The 13,334-nt window shown below is 52.6% G+C and overlaps 1 protein-coding gene across 3 annotated transcripts in view, besides 1 other annotated feature; it reads left to right on the forward strand.

The window, feature by feature from the left end:
• The window catches only part of LHX4 (LIM homeobox 4), a 50,610-nt gene continuing 37,485 nt past the window's right edge, over positions 210-13,334 (forward strand). The window contains exon 1 of one of the 3 annotated variants that reach the window (XM_011510105.3): positions 210-748. Coding sequence is in view for 1 of the 3 variants with exons in the window: in NM_033343.4 (NP_203129.1) it covers positions 2,365-2,440 (76 nt within the window). In the remaining 2 variants the exon portion in view is untranslated. Of the gene's footprint in view, positions 749-830; positions 989-2,098; positions 2,441-13,334 lie in introns of those variants that run through there. The other 2 variants (XM_011510106.4, NM_033343.4) reach the window with 2 other exon arrangements.
• Positions 1,540-1,669: a silencer, noted in NCBI's record as "silent region_1593". NCBI's record gives its function as "represses an Ori minimal core promoter by ATAC-STARR-seq in GM12878 lymphoblastoid cells {active_cell/tissue: GM12878}" and the evidence as "EXISTENCE:reporter gene assay evidence [ECO:0000049][PMID:35858748]".

Below are 13,334 nucleotides of genomic sequence, written 5' to 3' on the forward strand. Positions count from 1 at the left end.
AGCCACTTTTCTTTTGTTGGCTATTTAGGTTATTTTTCTCCAAAACATAATACTGTAATAAACATTTTCACGCATGAAACTTTTATAAAAAATTCTAGATTATTTCCGTGGAACAGACATTCAAAAGTACTACATAAACTAAAGGGTATGAAAAATTTATGAGTTTGATACATATTGCCAAATTTCTTTCCAAACGGATGTTAAGAGTTTATAAGCACCCAGCAGTATTGGTGAGTGTCCAAGCCCCTTTCGCCAGTCCTGAACTCTAGGATGCCCCTCCCGCGCGTCGGGCATCTCACAAACAGAAAAAGCTGTGCACGTGTTGTTTTGTCTTGCGTGTTTTTCACTGCAAATGAGGCTGGCGTTTCCCCGTGTTTGCTTACTAGTTATATTTCTATAGAACACATTTTGGTAAACACTAAAAATGTCACTGGGTTCTTTTGCTTTTTTCTTCTTGTGTATATTGTCTCGCGCGCGGAGTCACCTCGCAGGTAAACAAGGGAAGAGATGATGCCAACCCAGTACCAGGACACACAAAAGTCACTGTGACCTCATTGGAGACAAATTCTAAGCAGCGCAGACGACCAGGCCATTCTCCCCCGCCCCATGCTCCTCCCTTAAAGGTGAGCAGGTGTCCCTTGTTTGGAGATGACACCAGGGGAAACAGCAGGGAAGGTTCTGGAAGGCTGGGGAGGGCACACAGTCCCCCTTCCCGCCTAAGCTGAACCCCACTAGGCTGGAAGGACACGTATGTCTGCATTTCTGGAAGGAAATGCCGTGGGGGCTGGGGGCAGGAGAGCGGCTGGGTCTTGGGGCAGACGGGGTGGGCTTCCCGCGCCTGCAGCCCGGAGGCGTCGAGCGCCTGATGGAGCGTCAGAGGAGACCTCGTCCCAGCGTTGGGCCTTCTGTTGTATTTCTGCCAGAAACTCGCGTTGAGGAGAATTTGTTTTAAGCGTTTCTCTACCTGTCCATGCATCTCGTAAATACAGTAAGCATGGCAAGCCCTTTCGCTGGTTAACCCCGGCGTCCGTGTGCTCACTGCCGCCCTGCACGCACGAGGTCGCGGATGGTTCAAAGCACCCGCGGTGGCAGCCGGAGAGGCAGAGCGGGCTCTAGGGACCTAAGACAGGGCCGAGCTGGACGACTGGTGGCAGGGCGGCCGGGGAGGCCCCGCCGCGGGGAGGTTTGGGCCCCCTACCCTGCGGAACTGGAGGCAAGTGCGGACTCCGGCTGCAGGCCGCGGTCTGCGGGGACGCGCGCGGGGGGCCTGCGTCCCGCCACCTCCGCGCACAGCCCCTGGTCCCCTTCCCCAGCCCGGGCCGGCGCCGCCCGCCGCGTGACTCGCGCGTTCCGGGCCGAGTACGGGCTGTCCCTTGGCCCAGCCTCAGCCAGACGCGGGGGAGAGAGAGCAGGGGCTGGGAAGTGCCGGCAGGAAAGGAATTGGCCAGGGGAAAGAGGAGGAGGAAGATAGATGGAGTCATCGGTTACGGAGCGCGCTCCGTCCGGCGGAGCGAAGCCGGGGACCGAGAGCGCGCAAGGCGAAGACACAGCGACGCAGCCCCGTCCCCGGCCTCCGGACCGCCTGCCCCGCTCGGCCCCGGCTCGGCTCCGCCCCGCCCCTGGGTCCGAACGGAGGAGTGAGGAGGACACGAGCCGCGCGGGCTTGGAACCCACGAAGACCCGCAAACCCAGGGCGCCGCCGTCTCCGACCACCTGCTGCCGCGGCAGGCCATCAGCAGAATTTATACCCAGGGCGCGAGCCCGCCACGGCTGGGCGGAGGCGGAGGCGGAGGCGGGGAGGGGGGGGGGGTGCCGGCTTGCGAGGCCCCGCCCCGCTCCCTGCCGCCCCGCCCCCCTCCGCCCCGCCGGCCTCACTCGGGGCGCCGGGACCCCCACTCCCTCCGGGGTCGGCTGCCCGCCGCCGGGTTGGGGGATGTGCCGAAGGGCGGGCCTCCCTGCGGAAAGCGACGTCACGGCCGCTCCTGCAGTGTGAATGAATCAAAACGCCCGGGTGACCGCGGCCTCCCGGGCGGCCGGCACGCGAAGGGTGGAGGGGGAGGGGGAAGGAGCGGGCGGGGGAGGGAAGAGGAAAAAAGCCAGAGCTGCAGCAACAGCGTCTCAACCTGGGATGTGCACCAACCCCGGAGAGCGAGATCAAAGGGACTGGAAACAGACTGGGGACTGGCGGGGGGAGGGGGCCGGCCAGCCTGTGGAGTCCTCCCTGAGAAGCGGAGGGCCCGGCTTCCACCGTGACTCCAGCGGCCTGCTTGGGGTTTTAATTATTATTTTGAAATTTCTGAATCGAGCTAGAGCGAGAGAGCGAGAGATCTCCGTAGACTGCGACTCGCTGGCTTTCGCTCCGAGATGATGCAGAGTGCGACTGTCCCCGCGGAAGGGGCTGTCAAGGGGCTCCCGGAGATGCTAGGTGTGCCGATGCAACGTAAGACACCCCCCTTTCTCGCTGATTTAATTCTAACAAGACAGCTAGCAGCCTCAGCCGCTGCGGGGCGGGCCGGACGCCGCTCAGGGGCCGGGAGGGGCTGGCGGCCGGGGCGCAGAGGCGGTCACAGGGCAGGGGCACCAGCCAGAGTGCGTTTGAGGGGGCCAGGCTCTTGGCTGTTTGGGGCCGAATGTGAACGCCTCCTGGATCATGCTTGAGGCGAGCCGAGTACCGAACCCCGCATCTCCAGCCCAAGGCTTTTCTTGGAACGCTGGGGAGAGTGCTGTTTGGGGACACCCAGGGGTACGAGCTGTAGGCCAGGCCTGAGGGCGAGGGTGGTCCCCACAAATCTTCTTTCGCCGGCGTGACGGTCAGCGCTTGCAGGACCGCTAGTGCAACTTCACCCCAGCTGGCGGGAAGTTGGAGAGCGCGTCTCTCGCCCCTGGGGCTGGCGGCGGAGAAGCCCCGGCCACACTCTTAGTCCCTGCGGCCCGCGCCCCGGGCGTGCGTGCCGGGTGAGTCCCCAGCCGCTACTGCCCGCGGCGCCCGCCGCGTGCGCCGCGGGAAACTGACTGCTCCTTGTGAGGGAATCTGCTCGCGCATTCCAGCTAGCCTAGGAATGCAGGGGAGGGAGAAGCGACCGCAAGTTGTGAATTCCGGGTTCAGCCTTTGCGCACGCGAGGGCAGGTGCTCAGGGTGGCTCGGGTTTGGAGGGGTAGAGACGGGGGTGTGTGGGAGCTTTGCTAGCCTGCCCGCCCGCTTTCTTCCCGCGCCCGAAATTAGCGAGACAGCCGGAGCTCGCGGCGTGTTTATCCCCAAGTCTCTCTCTGTGTGTATGGGTGTGCGCGCGCAGAGATTTTCCCGAAGGGAATCCGTCTCTGTGCTTCACTCCTGAGCGAGAGTCCCCGAGAGGGAATCTGTGCAGAGGCCAGAACAGGTGCCCAGTCGTCGCGCGCGCGCGCGCGCGCGCGCGACAAGCGCCGGGAGAGTCCTGCCCCTGTGGCTTGCACGCTCAGCAGGGCGCCCCGGGCACCCTGGAGAGACCAAGGAGTTCCTCGCTCCGCTTGCCAAGGGGTTGTACTTCCGCCTGCGACTTCTTTAGTGGTGCGGTAGCTACATCTTCGGGGTTTACTTTAAGTAAGGGCCGGCTCATCCAGGGATGGTGACTACCTACAAACTAGGGCGCACGAGCGCGCCCTCCTGCGCCTCGGGTTTCCATGGCAGGGTTTCTGTCCGGCGATCCTTCGGAGGGCAGGCGTACCGTAGGCTTCCCTGGGAAGTTTTTGAGAAGGGACTAGAAAAGAATAGCTTCATCCAAGCCTATTTAGATTGTTTCTTGGCTGTATTCTACAGTTATTCTTTGAGTGTTTTCGTGTCAACTGCCGGCAATCAGTTCCACGTCTGTGTTGAGCCTTGGGGAGTTTACCGCTAAGATGTTTTCATAGAAGGCATTGGAGATTCACTACGCCCCACACCCCGCACACAGGCAGGGACAGAGTGGGTTCTCAGCCCCTGCAAAGACGGAAACAGAAACCCTGCAAAGGTGCACCGAGTCCTTAAGCTGCTTGTAGCTCTGCGCGAGTGAGGAGACTGCATGAGTGGGGGAAGGGTGTGTGTGTGTTACTAGTGTCCTTGGTACCCAGTACGTCTGTGCTTTCATGGCTGTGGTCCGTAGGTGACCTGTCTGTTGGGACCCCAATGAAGGACGATGGTCTCTGCTCTGACGGCCTTTCTTGTGATGAGTGACACTCTGATTGTCTCACTTTTTGCCTTCCCTGTTCAGAGACAACTTTGATGTTCGACGTCAGGGAGTCGCTTTGCTAAAATGCCCAGAACTCACCTTCAGAGCTACAGTTTGCCAAGGCTGAGTCTAGGTTCACACTGTGGAAAACTTGAGGTGTACAAAGGAACTTCCACACCCACCCCCCCAGGGTGGCCCAGGGAGGCAATGTCTAATCTAGAGGGGGTGGTCAGTCCTCCCTTTGTCCGAGTTTCGTGACCTTGGTTGGAGGAGGCATCGGCCAAAATTGAGGGGCCCACTCCCTGAAGACTTCTGGATCCAGCTTTTATTTCCTCTTGGAATGTGAATGGATTGTAGCCTCCCTTGCAGCACATCTGGCCTCTGGCTGTTAGGCTGTTGGTGCTGGGACCGCGGGATAGGTCCCCATCACCCACATATACACAACTATTAGTTTTCTTGGGACTGGGCCCAGTGGCCTAAGAAGGGGGGAAGCTCGAGGGGTTGTGGGGCACACCCTTGGGCCTTCCGGGACAGTAGGCTCTTAAACCCTAGAGGAGGGGAGACAAAAGAAACGCTCTCCCACAGGGGTCCCTCCAGTCGCCAACTAGAAGGGTTTCCCTCTCAACACAGACATGTTTGCCTCTTCATCACATGGAGTCACCACGAATGGAGCACTTGGGGACGCAGGTCTAGGTGTCCCCAAGCTCGGTGCCTCTAGTGCCCTCCCCTCTAGGGGCATTTTAGAAGAAGTGATTTAAATCCAGCTTATTTCGGCGGCAGCTGGACTATTCCTTTGCTTATTTGGGGATGGGTGAGGGGCATACCCTTTAGGAAAACGTTTCCAAATGATGTAATAATTTCTCTCTCATCTCTGGTCTTGCTCCAGACTTGGCCTCTTCCTCGCCACTCTGTCCCGGCCTCCCGCCCCCGCAGGCTCCCGTGCGGACTTAGCAGTTCGCGCCGTAGCCCTCCTGGTTTTTTACCGCGCCTTGGTCGCGCGGCCCCCGGTGCGGGCCTCGTCGCTCCGACAGCCCTACAGCTGTCCCTACGGCCCGCACCGACAGCTCGTCCCCGCCACCTCCCTCCGGGCTGTAGGGACGTCGAGATCCGAATCCTCACAGCGCCTGACCCGGGGCCGTGTTGGGTACGGGTACGGCGAGAGCCTTCCGAGCCGCCTCCAAAACTCTCCCCGCGGACCTCAGCAGTCCCTCCACGCGTCGGGGCCCTGCTGGCCGGCCATGCCCTCTGAGGAGACGCGGAAAAGAGCGAGGCATATAGGAAGGTGGGGCGTTTTATCCGCCTCGGTTTTGACCCATCTGCCATGTAGTCTCCCCAGGCACCGAGGGAAAGGACGACGGAAGCCCGCCGCCCGGATCGCTGGCGGGAGAGAGGGCAGCCCGCACGGGAGAAGGAGGAGCCCCGCGGGGTCTCCGCTGGGGGTGGTAATTGGAATGCAGGCCTGGGGGTCTCTGTCCCCCTCCTTGTCTCCTAAAATGCTTCCGGCAAGCTCTGGCGAACCCCGAAGCTGTAGGAAAAAGGTATTTTATTTTGTGTTTGGTAGGGTCGGGGTAAAGGTTTTCCCTGGGACTTCCTCTCCTGGGGCTCCTCCGGGGTGCGTGGGGTAATGTCCCAGCGCAGGTCGAGTTGCAGATCCGAGTCCCCGGGGTTGTTGACTGTCCTTCTTGCAGGACATTTCTTAAGGGGGTGAGATGGATTCACTGTCCAAGACAGGAGTTCACTCAAACGCTGGTGCTGTTCGCTCTTCTTTCCATTCCTGCCTTGTCTCCTAGTGCGAGAAACAGACACACACAACACACACAAATTATATATATATATATATATATATATATATATATATATATATATATATATATAATAGATTGAGATTCTATCATATTCCGAACATTCCGATATAGCAGCTGTAGGCACCATAGACCTCCCTCCCTGCGTCGCGAGAATATATTCTCAGGCAGGAGACAATTTTTACAGATGAGGTCAGCTGTCCCCGCCGGCCGATTCGGGCCTGATGGGTTGGGGGTTCCGATGTCCTAACTGCTAGGATCCCGTTCCAGCCCCTGGCCAGAGCTGTGTACCACAAAGAAGGGAGTTTGGAGAAACCCGGGTAAGCGCGGCAGCGCCCCGCTTGGGACAGCGGATGGCTGAGGACTCCCAAGGGGCGAGAGGGCTCCGGCCTCCTCCTTTCCAGGGCCTTGTTATCTGAGAGGGCCGTTAGCACGGAGGGAAGCTTGGAAAGCCGCTGTCCCAGTGCGCTCCGCATGCGGAATTAACTGTTAAAGCCGGACACGGAGCACGCAGGTGCAGCAGGTGAGGGGCAAAGGTCTGCATTGAGCAGTCCGCAGTGTCCCGGGAAGTCGTAAAGTCGGGACTGAGAAGAAGCAGGACCTAACTCAAGTTTATTTCCTCTCTTGGCCGAGGTCCGGGCTCGTGGAAAACCAGAGCTAGGCGGGGCTACGCAGGGCTGAGCAGGAGTGGCGTCCTAGGGTCTGGGAGCGCGACCCACATGACCTCGCTACGACCGGGGCAGGGCTCCTCCGCCCCGCGGGCAGATGCCGGCCTGGGTGGCCCGGGGAACAGACGATGAATTCTTTAAATGAGCGTTTGCTGCGCACCCATGGGCGGCTCACGATCCTGGGCACTCGCCCGGGAATCCCGGGCGTGCTCTGGGTTTTGGGGGACTCGCCGGTGGAGGTAGATGTGGACAGGGCGGCCGGCCCTTCGCGGGTAGCCGGCTTTGCGCTTACTGCGTCCCGCAGCGGTGGGTAAAGGTCGTAGCCCAGAAGGGGACAAGGGAGGGACCGCCTCTCTCTCCCCGGTGCGCTGCAATAGAGGTTCCTGCGCCTTGGCCCTTGCAGTCCATCCGCCCAGAGGTTCGCGCCCGTTTTCGGAGCTTATTATCTCAGGTAGCCCAGAGGTCCGACTGAGCTGGAATTAGCCAGGCCTGGGACCCCTTTGCTGCCCTTTAGAGTGGTGGCAGGGACTTTTCCAGCAAGGATAGGCGCGGCAGGCGCGAGTGCGGACGGCGCGCCCATTAGGAGGAGGCCGGGTGAAAACCTCTCTTCCTCTCCAGACCCATTTCGTTCCAAGCATTTGGAATGACAAAATTAAACCCCAACCCTGGCGGCTCGAGTCTAATGTGACTGTTTAACCCTGGGAAAGCGATGCTCCCATTTTCGAAGGGGCTCCTCCTCTTCGGAGCGGGGAGGCCGCCGGCGGGTGTGCCCGGCCCGCGCGTTCTGCGGGTGTTCGAGCCTCGGCTCCCCACTCGGTTCCGCAGCTTAGTGGACCTTGACGAGCGCTGGAAACGTGTCAGGCTCCAGAGAGACAGAGTCTCTACCTAGGCGGCTGAGGATGTCAATTAAAATCGACCAGGGAAGGGAGTTGGCGGCACTGTGCGCCGCCGGGGAAGGCGAGGTGGCGCGGGCCACCGGGTGCACTCACCGCACGAGAGGCCGCGGCTGGACTGGGACCGAGCGCATCCCTGTGTCTCAGGGGGTTTGCTTTGTGCAGGATGGGACCTTATTATTTTTAGACAGTGGGGCAAACGTGTCTTTTAAAGAGATCCGAAGGGTGAAACTAATGAAAAAGGAAATGAATTACTAGAAAAGCCGTGAAGGGATAAAACCGGGAGCAGCAGGAAGTTGAAGGAAGGACGACCGAAGCTAGGTGTATCTGCACCTGCCTCTTGACACGCCAAAAACAAAGGGGGGTTAAGGCAAGAATGTAGACTAAATGCTGTGAGGATTAGGGTAACGCGAGCCCTCAAGACGTCTCGGAGACCGCCTACAGGGCTGCAAATACCAGGGTCCATTTTTAAAAATCGAGTGCTCCTAGAGGTGGGGTGGGGGTGGGAGAGCCGGGAAACCAGCAAAGCAATTTCTTTCCATTGAGTAGACAAAAACTTGGGCCACAGGGGCATCTTGTATTTTGAACAGTGACCCGATGACCCCGCTGGCCAGGTGTAGACAGCCTCAAGTCCTAAATATTTGCATTGTCCTAACTTCCCAGTTGCCTCGGATTTTAATGCCCTTTCACTCTGCGTTACAGTCAATTAGTGATTACTTAGCATCCACATTAGTAGACTGAAGCCAGAGACCCCAGTGCTGGGAGGAGAGGAGGAGCCGGGGGAAGGAGGATGGGGCTTGCAGTCCTGCAGGGATGGAAAATTAGTTAACAGGAATTAACTGTTCTTTCTATTACCTTGTTATGAAATCTGCTTTGAGCTTCTTGTTTTGGACGGGAATGGTGGGTATTTAGTGGATTTCTCTGGCTGGGAAACTTGTGTCCTCTTCCTATTGAAGAGTTGTGGATGGGGGGCGGGTAGGTGGAATCGGATAAAGGGACCTTGTGCCTTTTCTTTCAATTAAGGAAATTTTTCAGGAATAGAGCTGAGGAGCTTTGGGACGCATAGGGACTTGGAACCAGTTTAGCTGAAGAGAGGACAAAAGGAGTAATATTACCCACTTTGAGAAACCCACGGTTGGAGACAGACTGAAGCAGCAGTTTGCTGTGGCAGCACCAAATACATGGCTGCATAGACGGCTGAATTTGGAGAGGGCTGGCTGGGGTGCCGTTGAGGCGATTTTACTTTTGTAACAATGTTTTGCCTTTCTCCCTTCCTGGAATGAGTGTTAACAATGCCCATAACAGAGATGTGGGCAAATAGGGTCCACTGCTTTTAGTAAAATTCCATCGCGGTCTGGTGGCTTGAATTTCTCTTTCTTCCTCCCTCCTTCTCCTTCCCCTGTTCCCCCAATTTCTTCTGTCTATCCCTTCCTTCCTTTGCAAAATCTTTGCAGGGAGAAACATGGGATAGTGCAGGAATTCACGACACAGGGGTTTTACTCGGCGGGGGGGGCGGGGAGGAGGGCGGTCGTGTGTCCAGCAGGCTGCACCGTGGTGGAGCCATCTCTCTTTCTAGGCGCCCTGGGAGGGAAGCACAGGTGCTGGGTATAGGACAGAAGCCGCCCTGGAGCTGGGCTCTTATTGTCTGTGGTAGGAAGAAATCAACTAAAATTAGATGCCACTGTGAGGTTTTACCTTATTTAGTCCTCAATTTTATAGGATCCCTGATCAAAATGGAGCACAAGTCAACCATTTTGAGGCATTGCTTTTGGGGGTAGGTGGACAGGTTGGGTTTAATTGGTGAAAATGAAATGGATTCTCCCTTGGAAAATGGACTTTGGGGTTAACTGTATGAGCGGCTGACTGGAAAGTCGTCTTGGGAGGTGAGTCCTACCTCCTGCTGTAATTTTGGTGGATTTCTTTTCTCAGATCTCCCCACCCTGTTCCCTCTGTCAGTCTGGGTCTAGCCACAGATGTTTAACTGCAGTACCTCACCCCCACATGTCTTTAAAGTATAATTTGCTTTAATTATGATGTTAGGGGGTTAAGAGATTGGTTCTGGGAATAGCTTAATAGAGACAAAACTTGCAGCCAAATTAATTGAAAGTTTCTTGCTATGAGGGAAAGATTGCCAAACATATGGAATACTGTTACAGAGTGAGACATTAGAAAAATACATTGTAGAGATTTAGCAATGATTAAATGTGAAAATGGAGTGGAAATAGACGTGTCTACAACATTTCCATACACAAACATGGATTTGCTTAATGTAATTTTCTGTTTTATTTGCAATTACTGAGATATATGATATCCTACTGAAGAATACTAATTACGTGACAATATATCACCTAGGAGATAATCCCTGCAAATACATATTTACATTGTGTATTTCATTTGTTACTCGACTCCTTATGTTAAAATATCCAAATTACAGCCTTAAAATGATAACATCGAAATTATCTCCAGTTTACTTTTGAATTTGTTCTTTTATTGAAGAGGTTTCTATTTTTGACTAAGCCGAAAAAGAACAAAGGAGATTTTCAAAGGCACCCCAAGCCACCAAATAAAGCAAACAGTAAAAGTGGGAAGGATTCCGGAAAGCAAGTGAAGGGAAAGGACAGCTTCAGGTGTGATCATTTCTGATGTAAGAAGGATTTTCTGACTTTTTTTCTGGTTGCTAGTCATTTGTCAAGACAAACTAGAAAAAACTAGAAATTAGATAAAAAGACGTGAGTACACTGATGCATTTTAAAACATGTCAGTGCATATGATGATAGAGAATATGATTTACCTTCAATGCGATGCTAATTTTTAAAATTAGAATTTTTCTAATATTTTTGTGGCTGGCCCAGCTCTCTTTCTTTAATGCTGCTGTCATCATTGATGTTCAATGTGCCTTTTCTCTTTATGTTTTAAAGAATTAATGTTGGAATTTTGTGCTTTAGCTGTGTTATGTGATTATTACTAGGTTGTGAAAATCCCTTAAGAGGAATTTTATAAAAACATTTTGGAAAATTCTGTTATTGTCTCTTCAAGATACGCTGATTTAGAATAAGTGAAAATATAAAAACGAGAACTATAAACGGTTCAACAAAAATGAATGTTCTTTAATGACAAAGAGCCAGGGTTGGGGGGCGGCACACACCAGATTTGTCATGGAAAACTGAGTCGTGGGCCTCAGGTTTTCCCTGCGTGGGGACTGCATGGATGAATCAGGCCTTCTTCCTTTGGTCACAATTACCAGGTGATTTAAAAGGGGAATTGTGACCAGAAAACAGGATTTTATCATCAGCGGTGATGGTGGCTACTTTGAAATGGAAAGTTTTATTTTTGAAATATTTATCCAGTAATAGACCTCTTAGTTAATTTAATTTTAATGTAACTATACCTCCGTTATAAATCTTTGACCTGGACATTTCAGAACTCAGGTATGTGTTTAGGCAGGTGTGCCACAGCTTGGTATATCCTGTAGCTTCACCTTGTTGATGCATTTTAGAATTAGTTATTCCCCGACTAAATCAATGAGCCCCCCACTGACAGTATTTCCCAAGCCTGCCTTTAGAAAACCATCTTCCTTCTTTCTTACTCAGGGAACCTGAGGCAACAGAACAGCAATGTCTGCAATTTGTTGTTTTCTCTTCCTTACATGTGGGAAAGGAATGGAAAATTTCAAGAAAAACATTTGCATACTATTTCAGTTGCATATGTGATTCCTTAAAGCCCCATTTGGCGTCTCCTTTCAGTTAGTAGTCAGTAAAGAAACTTAACAAATAAATAAAATTAAACGTTTTTGGAAATACATATTGGCCAAATGTTATTTGAGACAGAGCTCAAAAAACTGCTTACTTCTGGAGGGAAATCACCAGCAAAAAGGTTTTGGGCAAAAATCCCAGATGGAGGTGGCTTTGATTGAGCACAGGTGGAAGCCATCAGACCCAGAGTAAAAGAAGGTTTAGTCCTAATTCGGCCTCAAACTGTGTACCCGTAGGGAAGCCCCTTATTCTCAGAACCTTTTAAACGTAGACAATGAATGTCCGCTTCACAGGGTGTCTGGGAGGAGGGAATGAGCTTGCCAATTTGAAAGTACTTGACCAAGTTTGGAGTGCTGGTGGTCTTAAGGCACTCAGAGACTGGGATCACAGCTCCCATTTCACAGACACAGCCGCCCCTGGGAGCACTGCTGGCTGTCCCAAGAGGATGGCCACCTGAGGGGGAATACTGTGGGGTCTGCAAACAGGGAGACCCGGAAGTGGCTCCCATGGACCCAGCTCCTTTTCTCGAAAGGAGCAAGAAAAACCTTGTCCTGAGCATTAGGCTGTCAAGTCAAAGCATGAAACAAAAAGAACACTTCATCCAGAAGGCAGTTAAAAAGCAAAGGGAGTTAAAAAGCAAAAGCCTCACAGGAGGCACATCAAGCTGGCACATCAAAGTACAAACTTTACAAAATATTAATCTGGTCTCAGAGCATCGTTAAATAAACATTATTCCCTTTTAAAATTATTATAATAGAGGTAGGGGCTCACTATGTTGCCCAGACTGGTCTCGAACTTCTGGGTTCAAGTAATCCTCTCACCTTGGCCTCCCAAAGTGCTGGGATTACAGGTGTGAGCCACCGTGCCCGGCCTAAACATTCCTATCAGTACAAAGTTTTAAAAATATTTAAGTAGCACATCAGCATTATGATTCCAATGGAAAGATCTGAAATTCTGACTCCTTTCCCCAGAAAGGTGCCTTTTCTTAAATATATTTTAGAAGTCATTGTCGGATATGTTGGCTCTCATATTAGTCTCTTTAGTGGAATTTTTTTTTCCTTTACCCTTTTGATCTTCCGTGACGAAAGGGATAGAAAACACCATTTTTCAAATAATTAAAATCGATCAAACAAACACAAACGCTCTGTGAAATGTTTCATGGTGGCCCCTGGTTCCTTGAGAGCAGTTTCTTGGAAATGAAGAAACGTGAGTGGGGAATACAAATGCATGATATTTATTATCTCTCACCAGAGGGGTGTGGGCAGTTTGGTCTGCCATGGATCACATCAGACCTTTTGATCTCTTCCACTTCCCAGCTTTCGGAAACCATTAATGGAGGAATTTGGGGATTTAAAAATGGAATCCAGTTTCTGATGGGCCACTGTGAAAAATAAGCCCAATGTGCCTCTGTCACAATGCTTCAGGTGCTTTGAGGGCTGGCTATCACGTTGTGAGTTTTAAAAGCTTCCTCGATGAAGAAGGAGATTATGGCTACCGGGGAAGGGTCTGTAGCCATTTCTTATCAAGTAAGAAATAGTCTCTTTTCCTTTGGGCATTTAGTTGTCTCTAGGAAAAAATGCTAGAAGCCCCAAACGTCAATTTCAACCCAATCTACCCTCACCTGGATACATTACAGCAACAGTGAAGTAAGATCAGGCAGTTGTGGCCTCAACCTCCTCATTTTTACCATCCACATGTTCGGAGAGACCAAGATTTGGCAACTTTGTCATTCTGCAGAGGAAAGAGTCTGCCAGATCCCTTTATTCCAGAAAGACTGAGCCCTTGTAATACTGCATTGTCTGCTGTTTATACTCCAGGATCACGTTGATTAAAAAAGAGTGTGTGTCTTCGGAATGCTTTAGAATTAAGGGAGTGGAGGAGAGTTCTGAGTGTTTAGGAGGGGGTTGAGGGAGGGAAAAGGTATATTGGGAAATAATGAAGCATGAAGTAATTTTGATACACTTTATAGACATGCATCTTGTTGGCAACTGGCTATGAGACAGTGAAGGAGAGAGCTGACCACTGGCCTTGGACAGTG

This window comes from Homo sapiens, chromosome 1 (assembly GCF_000001405.40).
Source record: "Homo sapiens chromosome 1, GRCh38.p14 Primary Assembly".
Classification (NCBI taxonomy): Eukaryota; Metazoa; Chordata; class Mammalia; order Primates; family Hominidae; genus Homo; species Homo sapiens.